At 47.8% G+C, this 26017-nt stretch overlaps 1 long non-coding RNA gene across 1 annotated transcript, besides 1 other annotated feature; it reads right to left on the bottom strand.

The window, feature by feature from the left end:
• Positions 1 to 2823: 2823 nt before the first annotated feature.
• Positions 2824 to 7500, bottom strand: LOC105377074 (uncharacterized). The gene is made up of 3 exons (XR_940822.1): positions 7440 to 7500; positions 6373 to 6491; positions 2824 to 3627 (listed from the first exon to the last, which is right to left on the bottom strand). It is a non-coding gene; the product is annotated as an uncharacterized LOC105377074 (long non-coding RNA).
• Positions 17870 to 18059: an enhancer, noted in NCBI's record as "active region_19818". NCBI's record gives its function as "activates an Ori minimal core promoter by ATAC-STARR-seq in GM12878 lymphoblastoid cells {active_cell/tissue: GM12878}" and the evidence as "EXISTENCE:reporter gene assay evidence [ECO:0000049][PMID:35858748]".

Raw genomic sequence — 26017 nt, 5'->3', positions numbered from 1 at the left:
ATGATTCATAAGCTTAGTAGTAACTGTCACAGAGCCAGACACTATGCACAGTACTCAACAGCATTATTTCATTTAATTCTCATGACAACCCTCAGATGTATGTAGGCATTACCTTTACTGTTTTTCTTTTTCTTTTTTTTTTTTTTTTTGAGATGGAGTTTCGCTCTCATTACCCAGGCTGTAGTGCAGTGGCACGATCTCGGCTCACTGTAACCTCTGCCTCCTAGGTTCAAGCGATTCTCCTGCCTCAGCCTCTCAAGTAGCTGGGATTACAGGCTGCCACCACAACCAGCTAATTTTGTAATTTTAGTAGAGATGGGGTTTCACCATGTTGGCCAGGGTGGTCTCAAACTCCTAACTGCAGGTGATCCACCAGCCTCAGCCTCCCAAAGTGCTGGGATTACAGGCGTGAGCCACCGCGCCCGGCCTAACCTTTTGAAAAAATCAGCTAGGCACGATGGCTCATGCCTGTAATCCCAGCACTTTGGGAGGCTGAGGTGGGCAAAACACTTGAGGCCAGGAGTTCAAGACCGGCCTGGCCAACATGGCGAAACCCCGTCTCTACTAAAAATACAAAAAATAGCAGGGAGTGTGGTGGTATGCACCTGTAATTCCAGCTAGTTGGGAGGCTGAGGCAGGAGAATCATTTGAACCCAGGAGGTGGAGGTTGCTGTGAGCCAAGATCACGCCACTGCACTCCAGCCTGGATGACAGAACAAGACTCCATTTCAAAAAAAAAAAAAAAGAAAAAGAAAAAACGTTCACACCTGTAATCCCAGCACTTTGGGAGACCAAGGCAGGAGGAGGGAAAGAGGTCAAGGCTACAGGGAGCTATGATCGCACCACTGCACTCCATACTGGGCAACAGAGGAGACCTTGTCTCAAAAACAGGAGGAAGCTGAAGTTCAGTGAATTTCATTGAGGTTGCAGTGTGGGGAAGTTACTCATTCAAGACGTCCTACTTCAGCCCAGTATTTCTTTTTTTTTTTTCTTTTTTTTTTTAGACAGAGTCTCGCCGTCGCCCAGGCTGGAGTGCAGTGGCGCGATCTCGGCTCACTGCAAGCTCCGCCTCCCAGGTTCATGCCGTTCTGCCTCAGCCTCCCAAGTAGCTGGGACTACGGCGCCCATTACCATGCCCGGCTAATTTTTTGTATTTTTTTTTTTTTTTTTTACTAGAGACGGGGTTTCACTGTGTTAACCAGGATGGTCTCGATCTCCTGATCTTGTGATCCGCCCTCCTCGGCCTCCCAAAGTGCTGGGATTACAGGTGTGAGCCACCGCACCCGGCCTCATACCAGTATATCTTATCTCTCACCCTTCTTATCTATTCACTCAAATAGCTTCACCCAGGCTGCATCTTCATGCTTTTATTAATCCTTTAGGGAAAAATATTTTTGAAGTTTCTTTATTTCTGTTGTTGTTGTTGTTGTTGTTGAGATAGGGTCTTGCTCTGTCATTCAGGCTGGAGTGCAGTGGTGCAGTCACAGATCAATGCAGCCTGGACCTCCTGGGCTCAATTGATCCACCCAACTCCGCTTCCTGAGTAGCTGGGACTACAGGTGCATGCCACCATGCCACCATGCCCCGCTAATTTTGTATTTTATATGTATGTGTGTGTAGAGATGGGGGTCTCCTCATGTTGCCCAGGCTGGTCTTGAATGTCTGGGCTCAAGCAGGATAGGAGTTCATCAGGGTAGGGTTCCCAGCAGTGGATGCGGGTGGGCGGTATAGGTGAAGGAAGGAGAGAACTGTTCTTTTATTTATTTATTTATTTATATTTATTTTTATTTTTATTGAGATGGAGTCTTGCTCTGTCGCCAGGCTGGAGTGCGGTGGCGCCATCTCGGCTCACTGCAAGCTCCGCCTCCCAGGTTCATGCCATTCTCCTGCCTCAGCCTCCCAAGTAGCTGGGACTACAGGAGCCCGCCGCCACACTCGGCTAATTTTTTGTATTTTTTAGTAGAGACGGGGTTTCACTGTGTTAGCCAGGATGGTCTTGATCTCCTGACTTCGTGATCCGCCCGACTCGGCGTCCCAAAGTGCTGGGATTACAGGCGTGAGCCACCATGCCCGGCCAATTTTTTATTTTTTGTAGAGATAGAGCCTCACTATGTTGCCCAGGCTGGTTTTGAACCCCTGGGCTCCCTCTTCAACCCCCCAAAGTGCTGGGATTGCAGATGTGAGCCTCCAGGCCGGCTGCATTAATTACTTTAAAAGCAGAAATGTAAGCCCCTGTGGGCTGCAGGCTTGAGCCCTGGGGACCACCATGGTGAGGAGGTTGGATCACCTGAGTTCAGGAGCTCAAGACCAGCCTGGCCAACGTGGCAAAACCACGTCTCTACTAAAGATACAAAAATTAGCTGGATGTGGTGGCAGGTACCTGTAGTTCCAGCTACTCGGGAAGCTGGGGCTGGAGAATCGCTTGAACCTGGGAGGTGGAGGCTGCAGTGAGCCAGGATTACACCACTGCACTCTAGCCTGGGTGACAGAGACAACAACGGCAGGGCGCGGTGGCTCACACCTGTAATCCCAGCACTTTGGGAGGCCGAGGCGGGCGGATCACGAGGTCAGGAGATCGAGACCATCCTGACTAAAACGGTGAAACCCCGTCTCTACTAAAAATACAAAAAATTAGGTGGGCGTGGTGGCGGGCGCCTGTAGTCCCAGCTACTTGGGAGGCTGAGGCAGAATAGCGTGAACCCGGGAGGCGGAGCTTGCAGTGAGCCGAGATCGCGCCACTGCACTCCAGCCTGGGCGACAGAGCAAGACTCCGTCTCAAAAAACAAACAAACAAACAACAACAACAACAACAAAACAACAACAAAAAACACTTGTCTGTGGATGGATCTACCTTCTCCCCGGCTCCACGCTGTGCTCTTTGGCGGGTGGGACACTTGTCTGATTGACTGGGTGGTCTAACTGCATGTAGTCCCAATTACATAGCCACCTTACTCAAACATATGGCTCAGGAGTGAGACAGGGCCCGGGATCTGCCTGCAGAGTCTGAAGTGTCTCCATGGATACACAGTTCTTTGTTTCGTCTTTAAAATTCAGGTGAATTTTGCATTTCACTTCACGGCTGTTTGTTTTCCTTTTAAAGCACTGACTTTATAGTGCTTATATGGTATCTTTTTAACTTCTCCCAACTAAATATTCAGGTAAAACTGGTGGCCAGTTGTCCTCTGTCTTCTTGAAGTCCTGTCTCTGTGGGGTACCTGTGTCCCTATTTTGCATGCCCAGGCCTCTGGGACAGGGTTCACTTTTTACAGTCCTTGTGTAGCCGCTGCCAGCTGCTCACCCCCATCCTCAGAACACCGTCCTCGGCTGTACCGCTGTCCTCCTGGCAGGCCCCACCTCCTTCCTCTTCTCCCAACCCCACCTCAGTCATCTGTCCTGCTCCTACCCACTCTTCCAAGTCCAGCAGAGCCTTGTCCAGCTTCCCCAGGGGTCAGGCGGGTTGCTGTATCCTCTGAGAGGCCGCACTGGAACAGGGGCACTTCTTGCCTTGTATGGAGGTGTCTGTCCCTCAACTATTCAGACAGGGAGGTTCTGTGTGGGAGGCCACTGCACCCACCTCTTCCAGGCCCCGTCAGTCTCAGCAGAGAGCTGTGGGTCTGTCTACGCCTCCTAAAGGGAAGAGGGAGCCAAAAGAGGTCCCATGACTACCTAATCCGGGGCCACCTTATGGCTAGAACAACAATCTGGGATCCCAAGGGAGGGAGGAAGAACCTTGGGCCCAGCCACACCGGGCAAAGCTGGGGCTCTGACTTGGACAGTGGCTCTCAGGACAGGGTGGATGCTCAGCCTTTCCTGAACCATCCAAGCCCTGTCCAGAGCTCTCGGTCTGAGCACCCCGTCGCCGGGGCCCGAGTGGTGATTGCATTCAGTGGTGCGGTTGCTTGGCTGGGGCAGCAGCCCTTTGTGATGCGACTGGGTTGGCACCAGAGTGTGGGACGAGGGGCAGGCTGGCAGGGAATCAGAGCAGCCCTTCTGCCACCGGCTCCGGCTTTCCGCTGGTGACACGTAAGAGGATTAGGGCTCAGAACTCTGGACAAGGGGCTTTTATTCTCAGGGCTGCGTTTCCATTGGCCTGCAAAGCCCCAGAGACAGGAACAAAAGGTGACGAGGGACCGCCAATCCCATGCCCTCCAAGTCTTGTGCTTTGGGGGGGCACAGGGAGCCCCAGTCTCACTTCTGGTGGGTGGCTGGCATCCAGCCCCATCCAGATCTGCTTGAGGCCAGAGCTCCAGGACCCGGGGGCCACCCTCACCCTGCCATAAAGGCCTGAGCTACCCACAGGCTGGCACAAGGGATTTCCTGAGGACACAGTGGCTTAGAAGGGAATCACAGAATCCTGGACAGTCAGGATGGAAGGAAACATTGGCCACCTATACCAGCCTCTGTGGAAACTTACATATGGGGAAACTGATGCCCAGAGAGAGGCCATGACTTGCCCAATGCCACTCAGTGATGGAGCGCCTGAGCTGGGACTGGAATATGGAATGCAAGGCATGGGGGCCGCCCAGGAGTGGGGCCTTGCCCTCTAGCCAGGGGCTGAGTTATTCCCACCCTTGGAAGGAAGGAAGGAAGGAAGGAAGGAAGGAAGGAAGGAAGGAAGGAAGGAAGGAAAGAAGGGAGGGAGGGAGGGAGGGAGGGAGGGAGGGAGGGGAAATCAAATGAAATGAAGTGAAACCTTGGCCTTTAGGTCACTGTAAGGACCCCAGCTTTTCTCACAGAATGTGGTAAAAGCCATTGAAGGGTACTTAGCAGAAGGATGTTGTGGTCTGATTTAGTTTTGTTATTTATTTCTTTGAGACAGGGTCTCACTTTGTCACCCAGGCTGGAGTGCAGAGTTGTGAACATGACTCATTGCAATCTTGGCCTCCTAGACTCAAGTAGTCTTGCCTCAACCTCCCGAATACCTGGGACCACAGTCACACAACACCATGCCTGGCTAATTTTATTATTTTTTGTAGAGACAGGGTCTTGCCATGTTGTCCAGGCTTATCTCAAACTCCTGGGATCAAGCAATCCTCCTGCCTCAGCTTCCCAAAGTGTCTGGATTATAGGCATAAGCCACTGTGCCCAGCCTGATTTAATTTTAGAAGGATCACTTAGCTGAAGCTAGGGCAAGAGTAGACTAAGAGGACTGGTTAGGAGCCTACTGCACTGACCCAGGCAGGAGATGCTGGAAGCTCAGAGTGGACTGCTGGTTATAGAGCTGGTGGGAAGTGGTCACATTCTGGACATATTGTGAAGGTTGAGACCACAGATATTACTGGTGGTCCCAATGTGGGATGAAAGAAAGTGAGAAGTAGGCTGGGTGCAGTGGCTCACGCCTATAATCCTAACACTTTTGGAGGCCGAGGTGGGCAGATAACTTGAGGTCAGGAGTTCGAGACCAGCCTAGACAATATGGTGAAACCCTGTCTCTACTAAAAATACAAAAATTAGCCGGGCATGGTGGCAGGTGCCTGTAATCCCAACTACTTGGGAGGGTGAGGCAGGAGAACTGCTTGAACCGAAGAGGCAGAGGTTGCAGTGAGCTGAGATTGTGCCACTGCACTCCAGCCTGGGTGAAAGAGTCAAACCCTGTCTCAAAAAAAAAAAAAAGAAAAAGAAAATGAGAAGTGAAGGATGACTTGGTTTCAATACTAGAAGGATAGAACTGCAGAACACTGTGGGAGAAGCAGGTTTGGTGAGACGATCATGAGTTGGTTGGAGACTCCTATTAGGCATCTAAGTAGCTATGTCAGTTGTTGTGGGTGAGCAGCGACTATCTGGACCGGTGGCAGTCAGACACTTTCACACGGACACCTTTCAGTCCCACCAGAGTGTAGCTCCAGCCAGAGACCTACAGTTGTTTCTGTGCTTAGATGCTTTCCACCAAGGGTCCCAAGTTGGGAAAGAGAAAGACAGAGGGGAGAGAGTTTCCTGTAAGGAGAGAGAGTTCCCCATACGGGCCACCGAAGTGTCACAGGTCACAACTATCTGGGGCTGGTGTCACCTGGGTGGTAAAAGAATTTACCAAGACAGCTGTAGGTAAAGAAAGGTAGAGTTGTTAGAAAAAGCATGAAAATATGTTGCAAGGGTGCAATGGGCAAGTCAGCAAGAGAGGAGCTGACTGCAAAGAGACAAAGCCTTGCTGGGGATTTTATAGGGTGGTGTTTGTGCTGTGTGTCGAAGAGGGCTTTGTGTAGTCATGATAACGTCAAGGTTGCAGTGAGCTAACTTGCATTTTTCTATCAGCCGAGGGTCTGGTGATAGCTGGCTGCAGGAAGATTGTGAGTTATTTACACAGGAGGGCTATGTGTCCTGGACCATGAAGAAAGGCAGACTCATAGCTTATCTGCTTTCTCTTTTTGCTTTTACCTGCTCCAGCCAGCCTGGCTCCTCCTCCCCAGTTAGAACTCCACATCAGTGAGGTAGCTGGAACCGGGTGTGGGCTGGAAATGTACATCTGGATGTTACGTTGTACTGGAAGGTCCAGCCTAGACAATTAGGCAAGAAAATAAAATTAAAAACATACACATTGGAAAAGAAGTAAAACTATCTTTATTTCTATGTGCCATGAACTTGCATATTGTGTATAGAAAGTACAGAACATCCTAAAGAATACACACACATACAACGATTAGAGCTAATAAATGAGTTAAGTTGCAGAATACAAGATTAATATACAAAATCAATTATATTTCTATACACTAGCAACTATCTGAAAATGAAAAAAAAAAATTCATTAACTCAAATTCATTGCTGGTGGGGATGTAGAATGGTACAGTCATTTGGAAAACAGTTTGGCAGCTTCTGACAAAGCTAAACACACCCTCGCCACATGATCCAGCAGTCATGCTCCTTGGTATTACCCAAATGAGTTGAAACTTTTGTTCACACAAAAACTTGCATACACATGTTTGTAGCAGCTCTATTCATATTGCTAAAACTTGGGAAAGCTACTAAGATGTCCTTCAGTAGGTGAATGAATAAATTGTGGTACATCCAGACAATGGATTATTATTCAATGCTAAAAGTAAATAAATTATCAAGCCACAAAAGATATGGAGGTGGCCGGGTATGGTGGCTCACACCTATAATCCTAGCACTTTGGAAGGCCAAGGTGAGCGTATCACTTGAGGTCAGGAGTTCGAGACCAGCCTGGCCAAATTGGTGGAACCCCGTCTCTACTAAAAATACAAGTTAGCTGGGCATGGTGGCGGGCACCTGTAATTGCAGCTACTTGGGAGGCTGAGGCAGGAGAATCACTTGAACCTGGGAGGCAGAGGTTGCAGTGGGCCAAGATCGAGCCACTGCACTCCAGCCTGGACAACAGAGCGAGACTCTGTCTCAAAAAAAAAAAAAGAAAGAAAGAAAGAAAGACATGGAGGAATTGTAAATGCATATCACTAAGCAAAAGAAGCCAATCTGAAAAGGCTACATACTGTATAGTATAACACTCTGGAAAAACTATGGAGACAGTGGAAAGATCAGTGGTTGACAAAGTTTTTGGAGGAGAGAGGAATGAATAGGTGTGGTGCAGTGGATCTTTAGAGCAGTGATACTATTCTGTATGACATTATAATGGTATCAACATGTCATTATACATTTGTCAAAACACATAGAATGGCCGGGCGTGGTGGCTCACGCCTGTAATCCCAACAACTTGGGAGGCTGAGGCAGGAGGATAACTTGAGTCTAGGAGTTTGAGAGCAGCCTGGGTAACATGGTGAAACCCTGTCTCTACAAAAAATACAAAAAGTAGGTAGGCATGGTGGCACGTGCCTGTAGTTCCAGCTACTCAGTAGGCTGAGGTGGGAGGATGGCTTGAGCCTGAGAGGGTGAGACTGCAGTGAGCTGTGATTGTGTCACTGCACTCAAGCCTGGGTGACATAGTGAGACCCTGTCTCAAAAAAAAAGAGAAGTTACACACACACACACACACACAATTCCATTTACAATAGCATCAAAAAGAATTAAATATTCTTTTTTATTTTTAGTTACTTAAAAATATTTATGAAGGCTGGGTGCAGTGGCTCATGCCTGTAATCCCAGCACTTTGGGAGGCCGAGGTGGGCGGATCACCTGAGGTCGGGCATTCGAGACCAGCCTGACCAGCATGGAGAAACCCCGTCTTTACTAAAAATACAAAATTAGCCGGGTGTGGTGGTACATGTCTGTAATCCCAGCTACTTGGAAGGCTGAAGCAGGAGAATTGCTCGAACCCGGGAGGCTGAGGTTGCAGTGAGCTGAGATTGTGCCACTGCACTCCAGCTTAGGCAACAAGAGTGAAACTCTGTGTCAAAAAAAAAAAAATTACGAATAAATTTAACAAAACAAGTGCAAGACTTTTACACTGAAAAAAGAAACATTGTTGAAAGAAATTAAAGCCCAAAATAATGAAAAAATATCCTGTGTTCCGGTGGCTCACACCTGTAATCCCAGCACTTTGGGAGACCGAGGTGGGCAGATCAGAGGTCAGGAGATTGAGACCATCCTGGCTAACACGGTGAAACCCCGTTTCTACTAAAAAAAAATACAAAAAATTAGCCGGGCGTGGTGGCAGGCGCCTGTAGTCCCAGCTACTCGTGAGGCTGAGGCAGGAGAATGGCGTGAACCCAGGAGGGGGAGGTTGCAGTGAGCCGAGACTGCGCCACTGCACTCCAGCCTGGGCGATAGAGTGAGACTCTGTCTCAAAAAAAAAAAAAAAAATCCTGTGTTCACAGATTGGAAGACTTAATATGATTAAGCGAGGGCCAGGTGTGGTGGCTCACACCTGTAATCCTAGCACTTTGAGAGGCCAAGGTGGGTGGATTGCTTGAGTCCAGGAGTTTGAAACCAGCCTGGGCAATATGGCAAAACCTTGTCTCTACTAAAAATATGAAAATTAGCCGGGCATGGTGGTGTGCACCTGTAGTCCCAGAGACTCAGGAGGCTGAGGTGGGAGGATCACCTGAGCCCAGGGAGGTCAAGGCTGCAGTGAGCTGAAATCATGCCACTGCATTCCAGCCTGGGCAATTGGAGTGAGACCCTGTCTCAAAAAAATAAAAAATAATATTATTAAGATGGTAATGCTCCATAAATTGATCTGAAGATTAAATGCAATTCCAACAAAATCCCAGCTGCCTTCTTTGCAGAAATTGACAAGATGATCCTAAAATTCATTTGAAATGCAAGGAACCCAGATTGTTGCATTGAAAAGAACAATCTTGAAAAGAACCAATTTGGAGGACTCACACTTTCTAATTCAAAATAAAACAGGCAGAAGACCCCTCGCAGTGGCTCATGCCTGTAATGTCAACACGTTGGGAGCCAAAGGTGGGAGGATCGCTTGAGCCCAGGAGTTTGAGACCAGTCTGGGCAACAGAGCAAGACTCCCATCTAAATAAAAAATTAGCCAGGCATGGTGGCATGAGCCTGTAGTCTCAGCTACTCAGGAGGCCAAGGTGGAAGAACTGCTTGAGCCCAGGTGCTGAAGGCTGCAGTGAGCTGCAATTGTGCCACTGCACTCCAGCCTGGGTAACAGAGCAAGACCCTGTCAGTAAGAAAATAAATAAATAAAACAAAATTTTAAAATAGCTGGGCATAGTGGTTCATGCCTGTAATCCCAGCTACTGGGGACACTGAGGGTGCTTGAGGCCAGGCATTGGAGACCAGCTCGAGCAACATAGTGAGACTCTGTCTCTAAACAAAACGCAAAAATTAGAAGACCTAAAACTAAGGCAACAAAATTTATAATGACATCAGCAAAAATGGTAGGACCTCCAAAAATTTGTCTCTGTATAAAGGCAATGAAAACACTGGCAAGGCCGGGTGTGGTGTCTCACGCCTGTAATCCCAGCACTTTGGGAGGCTGAGGCTGGAGGATTGCTTGAGCCCAGGAATTTGAGACCAACCTGGGCAACGTAGTGAGACCTCATCGCTACAAGTAATTTAAAAATTGGCCAGGTGGCTGGGCACGGTGGCTCACGCCTGTAATCCCAGCACTTTGGGAAGCCGAGGCGGGCAGATCACCTGAGGTCAGGAGTTCAAGACCAGCCTGACCAACATGGAGAAATCCCATCTCTACTAAAAATACAAAATTAGCCAGACGTGGTGGCCTCATGCCTGTAATCCCAGGTACTTGGGAAGCTAAGGCAGGAGAAGCACTTGAACCTGGGAGGAAGAACTTGCAGTGAGCCGAGATCACACCATTACACTCCAGCCTGGGCAACAAGAGTGAAATTCCATCTCAAAAAAAAAAAAAATAGCCAGCCAAAAAAAAAAAAAAATGGCCAGGCATGGTGGCTCATGCCTGTAGTCCCACCTACTTGGAAGGCTGATGTGGTAGGATACCTTGAGCCTGGGAGGCGGAGGTTGCTGTGAGCTGAGATTGTGCCACTGCACTCCAGCCTGGGTGACAGAGTGACACCCTGTCTCAAAAAAAAAAAAAAAAAAAAGATGAAAACACAGGCAAAAAATATGGATTCAAATTACTATCTGGAGTTGCTTGTTTTCAGGCTAAAAAGTTTTCCTTTAGTATTTCTTGTAAGGCAGCCTAGCAACAAATTCTCTGTTTTTGTTTATCTGGGAATGTCTTTATTTCGCCTTCTTCTTCTTTTTTTTTTTTTTTTATACAGAGTCTCGCTCTGTCACCCAGGCTGGAGTGCAGTGGCGCCATCTCGGCTCACTGCAAGCTCCGTCCCGCTGGTTCACGCCATTCTCCTGCCTCAGCCTCCCGAGTAGCTGGGACTACAGGTGCCCACCACCACACTCGGCTAATTTTTTTGTATTTTTAGTAGAGACGCAGTTCACCGTGTTAGCCAGGATGGTCTTGATCCCCTGACCTCGTGATCCGCCCACGTTGGCCTCCCAAAGAGCTGGGATTACAGGCATGAGACACCACACCCAGCCTATTTCACCTTCATTTTGAAAGGTGGCTCTACTGAATATAATATTCTTTTTTTTTCTTTTCTTTCTTTTTGAGGCAGGGTCTTGCTCTGTTGCCCAGGCTGGAGTACAGTGCCATGATCAAGCTCACGGTTATCTTGAACTCCTGGGCTCCAGCAACTCTCCCGCCTCAACCTACACAGTAGCTGGGACTATAGGTGCTCACCACCATGCCCAGCTAATTTTTAATTATTTTGTAGAGGCAGGGGTTCTTGCTATGTTGTCCAAGCTGGTCTTGAACTCCTGGTCTCAAGTGATCCTCCTGCCTCAGATTCCCAAAGTGCTGGGATTACAGGTGTGAGCCACCATGCCTGGCCTAATATTCTTAATTGACATTTTTTTTGAGCTCTTTGAACATGCTCTTTTTTTTTCTTTTTTTGAGATAGAGTCTCATTCTGTTGCCCAGGCTGAGTGCAGTGGTGCGATCTCGGCTCACTGCAACCTCCACCTCCCAGGTTCAAGCAATTCTCCTGCCTCAGCCTCCCAAGTGGCTGGGATTCAGGCGTCTGCTGCCACGCCCAGATAATTTTTTTGTACTTTTAGTAGAGACGGGGTTTCACTATGTTTGCCAGGCTGGTCTCCAACTCCTGACCTCAGGTGATCTGCCCGGCCTCCCAAAGTGCTAGGATTACAGGCATGAGCCACCTCGCCTGGCCTGAACATGCATTCTTACTACCTTCTGGCCTCCATTGTTGCTGATAAGAAGCCACCTGTAGCCCGGTGCGGTGTCTCACGCCTGTAATCTCAGCACTTTAGGAGGCCGAGGCGGGCAGATCACGAAGTCAGGAGTTTGAGACCAGCCTGCCCAACATGGTGAAACCCCATCTCTACTAAAAATACAAAAATTAGCTGGGCATGGTGGCGCGTGCCTGTAATCCCAGCTACTCAGGAGGCTGAGGCAGGAGAACTGCTTGAACTGGGACCCGGAAGGTGGAGGTTGCAGTGAGCCGAGATTGCACCATTGCACTCCAGCCTGGGCAACAAGAGTGAAACTCCGTCTAAAAAAAAAAAAAAAGAAGCTACCTGTAAGGCTTATTGGCATTGGCATTCATTGTCAAGTGATGAGTCATATTATTTCTCTTGCTGCTTTCAAGATTTTTCTTTGTCTTTGCCTTTCAGAATTCTTAATATAATGTTTTGGTTCATTGATCTTTTTGTGTTTACCCTACTTGGATTTCAGTGAGTGTCTTGGATGTATTAACACTTTATAGCAAATTTCAGACGTTTTCAGCCATTATTTCTCTGAGTATTTTGTTCTGTTCCTTTCTCTCTACCTTCTCCTTCTGATATTCTTATGCATATAATTGGTATATTTAACAGTGTCCAACATTCCTCTGAGGCTATGTTTGTTTTTCTTCATTCTTCTTTCTCTCTGTTCTTTTGATGGCATAATCTCTGTTGATCTACATTCAAGTTTTCTTTTTTTTTATTCTGCCAGTTAAATCTACTGTTGAGATCATCTAATAAAATTTTCATTTCAATTATTACACTTTTCAACTCCCAAATTTCCATTTGATTCTTTTTTTTTTTTTTTTGAGATAGAGTCTCACTCTGTTGCCCAGGCTGGAATGCAGTGGCATGATCTCAGCTCACTACAACCTCTGCCTCCCAGGCTCAAGTGGATTCTTGGGCCTCAGCCTCCCAGGTAGCTGGGATTACAGGCATGTGCCACCACACCTGGCTAATTTTTGTATTTTTAGTAGAGACGAAGTTTCGCCATGTTGGCCAGGCTGGCCTTTAACTCCTGACCTCAAATTGTCCACCCACCTCGGCCTCCCAAAGTGCTGGGATTACAGGCATGAGCCACTGCGCCTGGCCCATTTGATTGTTTTTTTAAAAATAATTTCTGAGCTGGGCACAGTGGCCCAAGCCTGTAATCCCAGCAGTTTGGGAGGCCAAGGCAGGAGGATTGCTTGAGTTCAGGAGATAAAGACCAGCCTGGACAAATCGAGACCCTGTCTCTATAAATGTACAAAAAAGGGCCAGGCGCAGTGGCTCACGCCTATAATGCCAGCATTTTGGGAGGCTGAGGTGGGCAGGTCACGAGGTCAGGAGATCCAGACCATCCTGGCTAACACGGTGAAACCCTGTCTCTACTAAAAATACAAAAAATTAGCTGGGCATGGTGGTGGGCGCCTGTAGTCCCAGGTACTCAGGAGGCTGAGGCAGGAGAATGGCATGAACCTGGGAGGCAGAGTTTGCAGTGAGCCAAGATGGTGCCACTGCACTCCACCCTGGGCGACAAGAGTGAGACTCCGTCTCAAAAAAAACAAAACAAAAACAAAAAATTACAAAAAAGGCTGGGCACAGTAGCTTATGCCTGTAATCCCAGCACTTTGGGAGGCCAAGGCAGGAGGATCACCTGAGGTCAGGAGTTTGAGACCAGCCTGGCCAACATGGGGAAACCCCGTCTCTACTAAAAATACAAAAATTAGCTGGGCGTGGTGATGGGCGCCTGTAATCCCAGCTATTCAGGAGGCCGAGGCAAGAGAATCGATTGAACCCAGGAGGCGGAAGTTGCAGTGAGCTGAGATCATGCTACTGCACTCCAGTCTGGGCAACAGAGCAAGACTCTGTCTAAAAAAAAAAAAAATAGCTGGGTGTGGTGGCTGAGGTGAGAGGATCGCCTGAGCGCAGGAAGTCGAGGCTGCAATGAGCTGTGATCACTCCACTGTACTCCAGCCTGGGGAACAGAGGCTGTTTCTAAAAAAATTTTAAATAATAATAATTTCTATCTATCTTTTTTTTTTTTTGAGATGAAGTGTCTCTCTGTCACCCAGGCTGGAGTGCAGTGGTGTGCCGGCTCACTGCAACCTCCACCTTTTGGGTTCAAGCGATTCTCCTGCCACAGCCTCCCACATAGCTGGGATTACAGGCATGCGCCACCTCGCCCGGCTAATTTTTGTATTTTTAGTAGAGACGGGGTTTCACCATGTTGGCCAGGCTGGTCTCTAACTCCTGACCTCAAGTGATCCACCCACCTTGGCCTCCCAAAGTGCTGGGATTACAGGCGTGAGCCGCCATGCCCAGTGTCTATTAACTGATATTCTCTATTTGATGGGACATTTTCATCACACCTTCCTTTACTTCTTTTTTTTTTTTGAGGTGGGATCTTGCTCTATCATCATCCAGGCTGGAGTGCAGTGGCTCAATCTCAGCTCACTGCAGCCTTGACTGCCCAGGCTTAAGTGATCTTCCCACCTCAGCCTCCCAACTAGCTGGGACCAGGGGCACATGCCACCACACCCAACTAGATTATTAAATTATTTGTAGAGACGGGGTCTCACTATGTTGCCCAAGCTGGTCTCGAACTCCTGGGCTCAAGCGATCCTCCCACCTCAGCCTTCCAGAGTGCTGGGATTACAGGTGTGAGCTACAGTGCCCAGCCCCTTTACTTCTTTAATCATGGTTTTCTCTAGTTATTTGAAAATATTCATAATGATTGCTTTAAAGTCTTTCCATTAAATCTGACATCTGAGCTTTCTCACAGGTAGTTTCTATTGCCTGTTTTTTCCCCTGGGGTTTGGGTCAGACCTTCCTGTTTCTTTGCATGTCTTCTATGTAATTTGTTATTGGAAACTGGACATTTTAGGTGATATATTGTAAAACTTCGGGCACTGGTTTCTCTGTTCCATGGCTTGTTATTGGTTTTTGTTTATTTGTTTGGTGACTAGTGGATTATTTAGTGAAGTCTACACTCATCGGCCCCCACCCCAATCCCGATCACCACCCATAGTGTGCAGCCTCTTATGTTGCTCCCCAGAGGGCACAGCCTTGGGTATGCCCACAGTCACCCTGGGATGGCAGTGATTCTGGCAGGACTTGATCTCATTCCCTGACCACATACAGCTGTTACACTCCGCTAATTGCTGTCTGATTGCTCTACTGTTTTCAACAATTCCTTGGGGTACAAATTGCTCTACAGAGGAATCCAATTGAATCTGGGCTTTTTTGAAGGAATCTCTCTCTCTCTCTTTTTTTTTCTTTTTCTTTCTTTTTTCTTTTTCTTTTTTTTTTTTTTTTTTGAGGCAGTCCCGCTCTGTCCCCCAGGCTGGAGTGCAGTAGTGTGATCTCAGCTCACTGCAACCTCTGCCTCCTGGGTTCAAGTGATTCTCCTGCCTCAGCCACCCAAGTAGCTGAGATTACAGACGTGTGCCACCACACCTGGCTAATTTTTATATTTTTAGTAGAGATGGAGTTTCGCCATGTTGGCCAGGCTGGTCTTGAACTCCTGGCTTCCAGTGATTCTCCCGCCTCTGCATCCCAAAGTGCTGGGACTACAGGTGTGAGCCACCGTGCCTGGCCTGAAGGGATATCTCTTTAGGTCAATGATTGAGACTTGTGACTCCAGAATGGCTCTTAACTGTATCTTTCCTTGGTCCTGTCTAGTAAACTAGCCAACTTATGGTTTTGCTTCTATCTCTGATTTATTTTCTCAATTCCTCTTAATGGCATTTGTTTTTAAAATCAGAACCTCCATTGTTTCTGAGAGCACCATTAGGCTTGAACTTCTCCACATTCTTGCAAACAAAGTCAATTTGTTTGGGAAAAAATCTGAAGCTCCCGGCCTTCCCCTTTACCCAGGCAAAAATCTCTGAGCCACAGCTCTGGAGCTGGGGTCAGGGACAATGGCCCATCTCTTGCTGAGTGACACACCTGCTGTAAGAGATTGTCACTCTGTGGAGAGTAGGGAAGTAGTCTTCTTGGCTTGCCTCTGCCTTATGAGCCAGAATTAAGACAATCAGGGCCCCGGTATTTTCAGTGGCACCACACACAATGTAGTGTCTCTATTCCCTGCCTGAGGCCTAGGTGCACTAACAGAGCTACCATCTTGGCCATACTCATATAGGGCTTAGCCTCCGCAACCGGTAGCTGGGAGCCGGGTGGAAAATGCCGGCATTCTATCCCTCTTGGGAAGACAGTTCTCCAACTGGGAGCTAGTTGGAGAGGGAATCCTTTGTTCTTGGCTGAACCAGTCTGGAGTGGACTTTCCATCTCACTGAACTGGGAAGGAGAAAGAAGGAATGCATGTTGGTTTAAATATCATAGCTTTGATTAGTCCTACCAAGTTTTAGTAGATTTACTTGAATAAATATTTACTCATTTTCTGAATGCACTTAGGACCATTTCCAGAGGCTTTATTATTATTATTATTATTTAATTTTTTTGAGACTGAGTCTCACTCTGTCGCCCAGGCTGGAGTACAGTGGCGTGATCTTGGCTCACTGCAACCTCCACCTCCCAGGTTCAAGCAATTCTCATGCCTCAGCCTCCCAAGCAGCTGGGACTACAGCCTCCATGCCTGGCTAATTTTTGTATTTTTAGTAGAGACAGGGTTTCACCATGTTGGCCAGGCTGGTCTCAAATTACTGACCTCAGGTGATCCGCCCACCTTGGCCTCCCAAAGTGCTGGGATTACAGGTGTGAGCCACTGTGCCCAGCCTGTGTTTCTATTTTTGAGACAGGGTTTTTCTCTGTTGCCCAGGCTGGAGTGGAGTGGCATGATCATAGCTCACTTCAACCTTGAACTCCTGGGCTAAAGTGATCCTCTCACCTTGGCCTCCAGAAGTGCTGGGATTACAGGCATGAGCCACCACACCTGGCCCTGGATAGTTTTTTTAACATTTCTCCTCTCCCCGTCCCCACTGCAAGTCCTGGTTTAGCCCCTCCCAGCCTCCTGCCCCACCCCTTCTGAGGCAGCCAGTGCTGTGGCTTCAGTGGCTGGTCTAAAACATGCACTGGCGGCCAGGTGCCGTGGCTCACTCCTGTAATCCCAGCACTTTGGGAGGCTGAGGCAGGCAGATAACCTGAGGTCATGTATCCCTAGCATCTAGAAGAATACCTCTGATACAGTAGGTGCCAAAAAATGTGAGGAATGAGACAAGGACCTATGGTATAGCTGGAGAAAGATGTGCTTGCAAGAGGGTCACAAAAGATGACAAAAGAGTGTATTTAGCCTTGCTTCCCCAAAGGCTGAGCTGAGTGGAGGTCCTTTATGAGGAAGGAAACCCCAGCTGGGAGTGAGGCAGAAGTAGGAGAGGCCTGGGCAGGCAAGAGTTGTCAAAGTGGAGGAGCTGGCTGGCGTCTGGGAAAAGCCAGCAGAGTGTCTCCCAGAGCTGTACACATGCCAGACAGGTGACTGGAACAACTTTCTTTTTATTTATTCATTTTGAGACAGGTTCTTGTCCTGCTGCCCAAGCTGGAGTGCAGTGGTGCAGTCATGGCTCATGGCAGCCTCAACTTCCTAGTCTCAAGTGATCCACCAATCTCAGCCTCCTGAGTATCTGGGACCACAGGTGTGCACCACCATGCTCAGCTAATTTAATTTTTTGTAGAGATAGTGTCTCACTATGTTGCCCAGGCTGGTCTCAAACTCCTTGCCTCAAGTGATCCTCCTGCCTCGACCTCCCAAAGTGCTAGAATTACAGGTGTGGGCTCTTCAGAGGCATTTACTGAGATGGAATATGAGGCCAACACCTGTGGAAGGAAGGAGGCGGAAGCAGGATGGGGCAGGAGAACTTGAACAGTGATGGGCACCCAACAAAGTCTTGGAGAAGTTAGACAGTCGGACAGAGTCTCACATGAGATGGAAATGGCCAGTTCTTTATAGCCCCTGCTTTGCTCAGTCACCAGATGAAGGCTGCCTTAGGAAGGGTGTGACCTCAGGTGAGGCTGTATGCAGCCGTGCTGGGCCCTGCAGGAACAGAGAGCTGGAGGGTGTCTGGTGACTGCTCTTCCCCTGGGTCCTGCTGAAAGGGATGTGGTGGTGCCGTCTGTGTGTACTTACAAGGGTGTGCTCAGGGAAGGCCTGAAGGAGTTCAAGGAAGCGTGCTCTGCAGACACCTGGGGGAATAGCTCATAAACAAAGGGAACAGAAGCACATGGCCCCTGAGTGTGCCCGTCTCTGAGGCCTGGAATAACAGCGCGGAGCCTGGTGGTGCCACAGTGAGTGGGGAACGGGTAAGGATTCCAAGCAGCCAGGGCTGTGAGGCCACTGTAGGACTCTGGCTTGCACTCTGATCTGCAGAGGAGCTGTGAAGGGATGAGGGCAGTGGGGACATTCCTTAAGTCAGGACAGCCTGAAGCAGGAGAGCCCATGAAGACTACCACTGGGCTCCAGAGAGATGAGCTAAGGGCAGGCTGGGGCAGGGGCAGCAGAGAGATTGCCAGATGCACGGCAGATTCCGACCTCTGAGGACTGTCTGCGGTGAGCTCTGCCCACGTGCTGGCCATTGCAACTGTTTCCAGCACTCAGGACTTATGACTAAGAGCTTTAGCCAGTGTCTGCTGCCCTCTGGTGGGTGTGCTGGAGATAACCCAAGGCTGCTTCCCGCTTTTTTCTTTTGTCAACAGTTTATGGGTTCTACAGGTTCACCTTCAACTTTGTGGTATGAAAACTCTCTAGACTGGGCGTGGTGGCTCACACCTGTAATCTCAGCACTTTGGGAGGCTGAGATGGGAGGATCGCTTGAGCCCAGGAGTTCGAGACCAGCCTGGGCAATATGGCAAAACTCCATCACTATTATTATTATTATTATTTTTTTTTTTTGAGATGAAGTCTTGCTCTGTTGCCCAGGCTGGAGTGCAGTGGCGTGATTTTGGCTCACTGCAACCTTCAATCCCCAGGTTCAAGCAATTCTCGTGTCTTAGCCTCTTGAGTAGCTGGGACTACAGGCGCACACCACCACACCTGGCTGATTTTTGTATTTTTAGTAGAGACGGGGTTTCACCATGTTGGCCAGGCTGGTTTCGAACTCCTGACCTCAAGTGATCCGCCTGCTTCAGCCTCCTCAAGTGCTGGGATTACAGGTGTGAGCCACCACACCTGGCCCTTATCTCTATTATTAAAAAACAAAACAAAAACACAACCTCTTGTCACAGATGATAGAGGTGTCAGACAACAACCTATTGATGAGGCAGCAAGTCATCAACTGAGAGACAGGGAGGCACAGGGAGCCATAGTGTCCATGCAGCAGCGCGGGGACTGGGGCTGGCAGGGCCCGTGCTGTTTTCTAGAAGTGAGGGTCACCAGCACCTGGAAGAGAAGTGGGGCTACAGGATGCATCCAGGACGGGGAGCTGCAGAGCAGGTGCCATTCCCAGGAGGCCAACAAGATGAAGATGTTGAGGGTGCCTGCAAGAGAACTCTGAGTTCAAGGATAGTTCATAGATTCCTGCTAGGGATGGAAGGAAATGGAGCTAATGGAAAGAAAATGCAGATGATGAAGGCCTGTAGATCCAAAAGAAGCTGAATATATGGCGAACTGAGGGCGTGATGGGGACTGTGGACAGAAGGAGCTATGGGAACTGCAGAGCCATCGGAAGTGTGGCTGCCCTCGTGGCTGCTGGAACCCAGGCACCTGTGCTCACCCCTGCTGCCTCTGCTGAGACCGTCGCTGCCTGCTGCAGCCCAGTCACCCACTACTGATGCTGACCCTGCCAGGGGAGTGATCATGAACAGAAAAATTCCTTCTTCCTGCCTTCCAGTCTCCTTCCAGTGTCTCCCTGACAGAGCTGCATTAGAAACCAGCTGGAAAAGCAGTCTGGAAGATTTAGTTTACAAGCTTCCAGCCCACTTCAATACAGAGGAGAGCACTCAAGGCCAGGGGAGGTAGGAGCTTCCTAATTGCTATGTAAAATCCCCTTCACCCTTTTGTTCCTCCAGTCCTTTGAACACTATTCTTTCCTGCAGAGAAGCTGTTTGAATTTTCCATAGTTGCACTATGCTGTTCAACATGTGCATAAGCAACAATGGGGGCAAATCCAAGTATTCCAGGACCTGAAGCTTATACAATTGGAGGGGAGTTCTCTTTGACAAAAAGAATACAACATTATGAACAGTAGATTAGCTTTATTAGCTTTATGATAAATTCAACGCTGCCTATAACCCAACAATTCCACTCCAGATACTAGAGAAACTCTTGCATATGTTCACCAAGAGACATGGTTTAGTATGTTCATGAGGGCATCGTTTTTTGTTTTGTTTTGTTTTTAGGCAGTCTTGCTCTGTTGCCCAGGCTGGAGCATAATGGTACAATCTTGGCTCACTGCAAGCCCCTGTCTCCTGGGCTCAAGCCATCCTCCCACCTCAGCCACCTGAGTAGCTGAGACTACAGGCATGCACCACCATGCCTGGCTGATTTTTTTTTTTTTTTTGAGACGGAGTCTCGCTCTTTTGCCCAGGCAGGAGTGCAGTGGTGCGATCTCGGCTCACTGCAAGCTCCACCTCCTGGGTTCACGCCATTCTCCTGCCTCAGCCTCCGGAGTAGCTGGGACTACAGGCGCCAACCACCGTGCCCGGCTAATTTTTTGTATTTTTAGTAAAGATGGGGTTTCACCGTGTTAGCCAGGATGGTCTCGATCTCCTGACCTCGTGATCTGCCCGCCTCGGCCTCCCAAAGTGCTGGGATTACAGGCGTGAGCCACCGCGCCCAGCCTGCCTGGCTGATTTTTGTATTTTTAGTAGATACAAGGTTTCACCATGTTGCCCAGGCTGGTCTTGAACTCCTGGCCTCAAGTGAGTCACCCGCCTTGGCCTCCCAACCTGCTGGGATTACAGGCGTGAGCCACCGCGCCTGGCCAATGAGGGCATCTTTCTAATGGGAAAATAAGTAGAACTAATTCATCACTATCAAAACAAGAATGAATAAATATAGGAAGAATCAATATTGTATATTAAAAATATATTGATTATCCTCAACTATATCTAAGATTCAATATATATGGATTAGACTAGAACCAAAAAGTAATAAGAAGAAAGAAATGGAAGAAAAAAAAGGAAAAAAAAAGATAAAACATAATACCAATCAACTTACCAGCAAAGTTAAATGCAACATGCTATTCTAAAATTGATCTGTATTCCTTCACACCAAACACAAAAATCAATTGCAGGTAGATTAAAGACTTAAATGTGAAAAGAAATACTTTATAACTTTTCAAGAAAATATAAGAGAATATCTTTATGATATTTGGGGTAAGAAAGACCTTTTTTTAAAAACTCAATAAGCTCAAACAGTAAAGGAATATGTTCTTAACTTTGGATCTCAAAAGATAATCAAAGCAAAATAGAACAACGACAAAAAGATAATCCACAGACTTCCATTCCCAGCAAAGGACATAATCCATGAGAGATGGGAAAATAATGTGATGAACCTAGGATCGTCTACGTTCACACTACCTTGAAAGAATTTCCAGACAGTAAGGAGAAACTAAGGTGGAGCCTAGAATACTCCTTTTTTTTTTTTTTTTTTTTTTTTTTTTTGAGACTGAGTCTCGCTTTGTTGCCCAGGCTGGAGTGCAGTGGTGCAATCACAGCTCACTGTAGCCTCAGCCTCCCAGGCTCATGTAATCCTCCCACCTCAGCCTCCCAAGTAGCTGGGACTACAGGTGTGCACCACCATGCCCGCATGCTGTATTTTTCGTCTTTTTTTTTTTTTTTTTTGAGGCGGAGTCTCGCTCTGTTGCCCAGGCTAGAGTGCAGTGGCGCGATCTCGGCTCACTGCAAGCTCCACCTCCCGGGTTCACGCCATTCTCCTGCCTCAGCCTCCCGAGTAGCTGGGACTACAGGCGCCCGCCACTATGCCCAGCTAATTTTTTTGTATTTTTAGTAGAGACAGGGTTTCACCGTGTTAGCCAGAAGGGTCTTGATCTCCTGACCTTGTGATCCACCCGCCTCGGCCTCCCAGAGTGCTGGGATTACAGGTGTGAGCTACCACGCCTGGCCCTGGAATACTCCTTGAGTTGAAAAGACAGAGCTAAGGCCAGACGCGGTGGCTCACACCTGTAATCTCAGCACTTTGGGAGGCCGAGGCGGGCGGATCACGAGGTCAGGAGATCGAGACCATCCTGGTTAACGCGTTGAAACGCCGTCTCTACTAAAAATGCAAAAAATTAGCCGGGCATAGTGGGGGGCACCTGTAGTCCCAGCTACTCGGGAGGCTGAGGCAGGACAATGGCATGAACCCAGGAAGCGGAGCTTGCAGTGAGCCAAAATTGCGCCACTGCACTCCAGCCTGGGTGACAGGACGAGACTCTGTCTCAAAAAAAAAAAAAAAAAAAAAAGAAAAGAAAAGAAAAGACAGAGCTAAGAGTCTGGGGAAACCAAGGCAGCTGGAGTTCATAGGACAGAGCACCAGAGATGACAGTGTTGCACAGAGAGAGAACCTGGAGACTTGCAGAGGGTCACCAAGCATTCAGCATACAAGGAAACTACCAAGGCCAGAAAAAGGAGTATCAAAAAAGGGAACATTTTCAACCTGATAAAGGGCATCCATGAAAAACCCACAGCTAACATATATTTAATGGTGAAAGACTGAAAGCTTTGCCCTAAGATCAGAAATAAAAGATGTCTGCTCTCACCATTTCTAGCCACTGCACTCAAGCAAGAAAAGGAAATCAAAGGCATCTAGATTAGAAAGGAAGAAGAAAACTGTCTATTCATGGATGACATAATCATCTATACAGAAAATCCAAGGGAAATCTTCAAAAAGCTACTAGAATGAATAAGCAAGTTTAGCAAAGTTGCAGGATAAGATCAACATACAGAAATCAATTGTATTTTGGCCGGGCGCAATGGCTCATGCCTGTAATCTCAGCACTTTGGGAGGCCAAGCCAGGTGGATCACAAGGTGAGGAGATCGAGACCATCCTGGCCAACATGGTGAAACCCCATCTCTATTAAAAATACAAAAATTAGCTGGGCATGGTGGCACACGCCTGTAGTCCCAGCTACTCGGGAGGCTGAGGCAGGAGAATCACTTGAACCCAGCAGGCGGAGGTTGCAGTGAGCCAAGATTGCACCACTGCACTCCAGCCTGGCGACAGAGTGAGACTCCGTCTAAAAAAAAAAAAAAAAAGGACAAAATATTTGAATAGACACACTTCACCAAAGGCATATGGATGGCAAATAAGCACATGAAAAAATGAAAAATGCTCAACATCATTCATTACTACAGAAATGCAAACTAAAAGTGCAATGTGGTCAGGCACGGTGGCTCACGCCTGTAATCCCCGCACTTTGGGAGGCCGAGGTGAGTGGATCACTTGAGATCAGGCATTCGAGACCAGCCTGGCCAACATGGTGAAATCCTCTCTCTACTAAAAATACAAAAATTGGCCAGGCACAACGGCTCATGCCTGTAATCCCAGCACTTTGGGAGACCGAGGCAGGCGGATTGCCTGAGCTCAGGAGTTCAAGACCAGCCTGGGCAACCCGGTGAAACCCCATCTCTACTAAAATACAAAAAATTAGCCGGGCATAGGATGTGCCTGTAGTCCCAGCTACTCGGGAGGCTGAGGCATGAGAATTGGTTGAACCCAGGAGGCAGTGGAGGTTGCAGTGAGCCGAGATCGTGCCACTGCACTCCAGTCTGGGCCACAGAGTGAGACTCTGTCTCCAAAAAACAAAAACAAAAAACAAAAAAATAAAAACACAGAAATTAGTTGGATGTGTGGTGGACGTCTGTAATCCCAGCTACTCAGGAGGCTGGGGTAGGAGAATTGCTGGAACCTGGGAGGTGGAGGTTGCAGTGAGCTGAGATCACAGACTATACTCCAGCCTGGGCGATAGGGCAAGACTCTGTCTTAAAAAAAAAAAGAAGAAAGAAAAAGAAAAGAAAAGAAAAAGCAGTGTAATATCAGGGTGGCTAAAATTAAAAAGATTGACCATACCACCTATTGCCAAGGAACTGGAGCCCTTATACATTGCTGGTGGGAATGTAAAATGGTACAACCACTTTGGAAAATAATCACCCAGGCTGGAGTGCAATGGCGAGATCTCGGCTCACTGCAACCTCTGCCTCCCGGGTTCAAATGATTCTCCTGCCTCAGCCTCCCGAGTAGCTGGGATTACAGACATGTGCCACTAAGCCCAGCTAATTCTTGTATTTTTAGTAGAGCCAGGGTTTCACCATGTTGGCCAGGCTGGTCTCAAACTCCTGACCTCAAGTGATCTGCCCACCTCAGCTTCCCAAAGTGCCAGGATTACAGGCATGAGCCACCGTGCCCGGCCCAATGCCTGGCAGTCTTTTAGGCACTGAGGAAATAACAGCAAAGAAGACAGGCAAAAATCCCTGTCCTCTTGCCTTCTGGTACTAAAGTTCAAATAAGGAAAGTAAGAAACGTAAAATTAGTTCAGACTGTGAAAACCTGTCCTGCTATTTTCTCATCACAGATAATAGATGTGCAGGCTGGAGTGCAATGGCGCGATCTCAGCTCACTGCAACCTCCATCTCCCAGGTTCAAGGTCTCCCACGTAGCTGGGATTAAACATGCTGCAGCTGTAGTCTCATAAATAACCCCTTTCTTTGAGAGACTACCGCTTTTTTTCTTTTTCTTTTCTTCCTTTTCTTTTCTTTTTTTTTTTTAAGACAGAGTCTTGCTCTGTCGCACAGTCTGGAGTGTAGTGGTGTGATCTCGGCTCATTGCAGCCTCCACCTCCTGGCTTCAAGTAATTATCTTGCCTCAGCCTCCCATGTAACATGAGCCACCTCACTCGGTGGCGACTACTGCTTTCTTAGCAAGAAACTTTGTTCTCTAAAATTAAAACTTTGCTGCTTGACATCATGTCTATTCCCTCCAGGCAATGACCACCAGGAATATACTTATTACTGAAAACACTAAGTTTATTACTCATTGCTATGAGGGAGAATGTACACCATGGGGGAACCATGGGGTGTCTCATTAAGAGAGTGTTAGAAAATAATTATAGGATTTGGGCTTGTTAAGTGATTTAGGGGAGGGTTTAAGGAAGTACAGCTTTGCTTGGAGATGGAGGCTGTCAGAAGATTGGGGTAATTCTATGATTAGGTACCCTGATATATCTTATTTACAGGGAGGCATCTTTGCAAAGCCAGTATGTGATAAACAACTGGTATCAGGCCAAAAAAAAAAAAAAAAGAACTTGTATCAGGCTAAAGAGATTGGTAAAGAAGTGGTACTCTTATTTGCTGGGAAATGAGATGTTTGGTTGTGGCTTGGACAATGTACATGTTTTGTGTTCAACATGATTATGGAGTGTTCTAGTTTTGTCTTGATCCGTCACAATCAGTCTGATGTTGGTGTTTTATGAAATTGTTTATGCTCAACAGGAACACCAAGACCTAGCTGTGAGTGTCAGGCCAATTTTTTTTTCTCTTTCTCACATTTCAATAAGCATGAAACATCTCATTCTTGGCTGAAGGATCTACATCCCTTTGACACAGAGAAGCAGCCTTGATTTCCATCCCAGGTGCAGAGCTTCAGCTAACGATTACATTCCACATCGATCTTAACCTTGTAGTTTCCACAGAAATGACCCTGGGTCCCCTTTGCAGTCCACGCCAGATTAGGACTCCACACACAGCTGTGCTGTGCTTTGAGCATATCAAACACCGGTTCACTTAAATTTCACCTGAATTCGACTCTTTCCCAAATCATATAACAATTATTTTAGTGACTGTCAATAAACTTGACTTTGGTGGAATTACAGGTTTGTCCACTGATCTGAGGCTGATTGGGCTAGAACAAAACTATATACGGTATAATAGATATAAATGTTATGGAAAAAAATAAAAGCAAGGAAAAAGAAGTGTTGGGAAAGGGACAGTTTGTGATTTAAGTAAGGTGCTCAGGGAAGGCCTCACGAATAAAGTGACATCGGAGCAGAGACCTGAAGGAAGTGGGGAATTTTAAAATCAGCTTAATATCTGGGAAAAGGGGCATTCCAGGAAGAGGGAAGAGTTAGTATAAAGGCTCTGAGGACAGGCATACAGGGCGTGTTGCAACCACACTGTTTTTTAACGAAGTCTCACACTGCTGCCCAGGCTAGAGAGCAATGGCGTGATCTCGGCTTACTGCAACCTCTGCCTCCCAGGTTCAAGCGATTCTACTGGCTCAGCCTCCCGAGTGGCTGGGATGACAGGCGCCCCCCACCACGCCAGGCTAATTTTTTGTATTTTTAATAGAGAAGGGGGTTTCACTATATTGGCCAGGCTAGTCTCGAACTCCTGACCTCGTGATCCCTCCGTCTAGGCCTCCCAAAGTGCTGGCATTACAGGTGTGAGCCACCGCGCCCAGCCGCAACCACACTTTCTTAGTGAGACCCACCCTGACAACCT

This window comes from Homo sapiens, chromosome 3 (assembly GCF_000001405.40).
Source record: "Homo sapiens chromosome 3, GRCh38.p14 Primary Assembly".
Classification (NCBI taxonomy): domain Eukaryota; kingdom Metazoa; phylum Chordata; class Mammalia; order Primates; family Hominidae; genus Homo; species Homo sapiens.
This window is presented reverse-complemented; position numbering and strand designations above follow the sequence as displayed.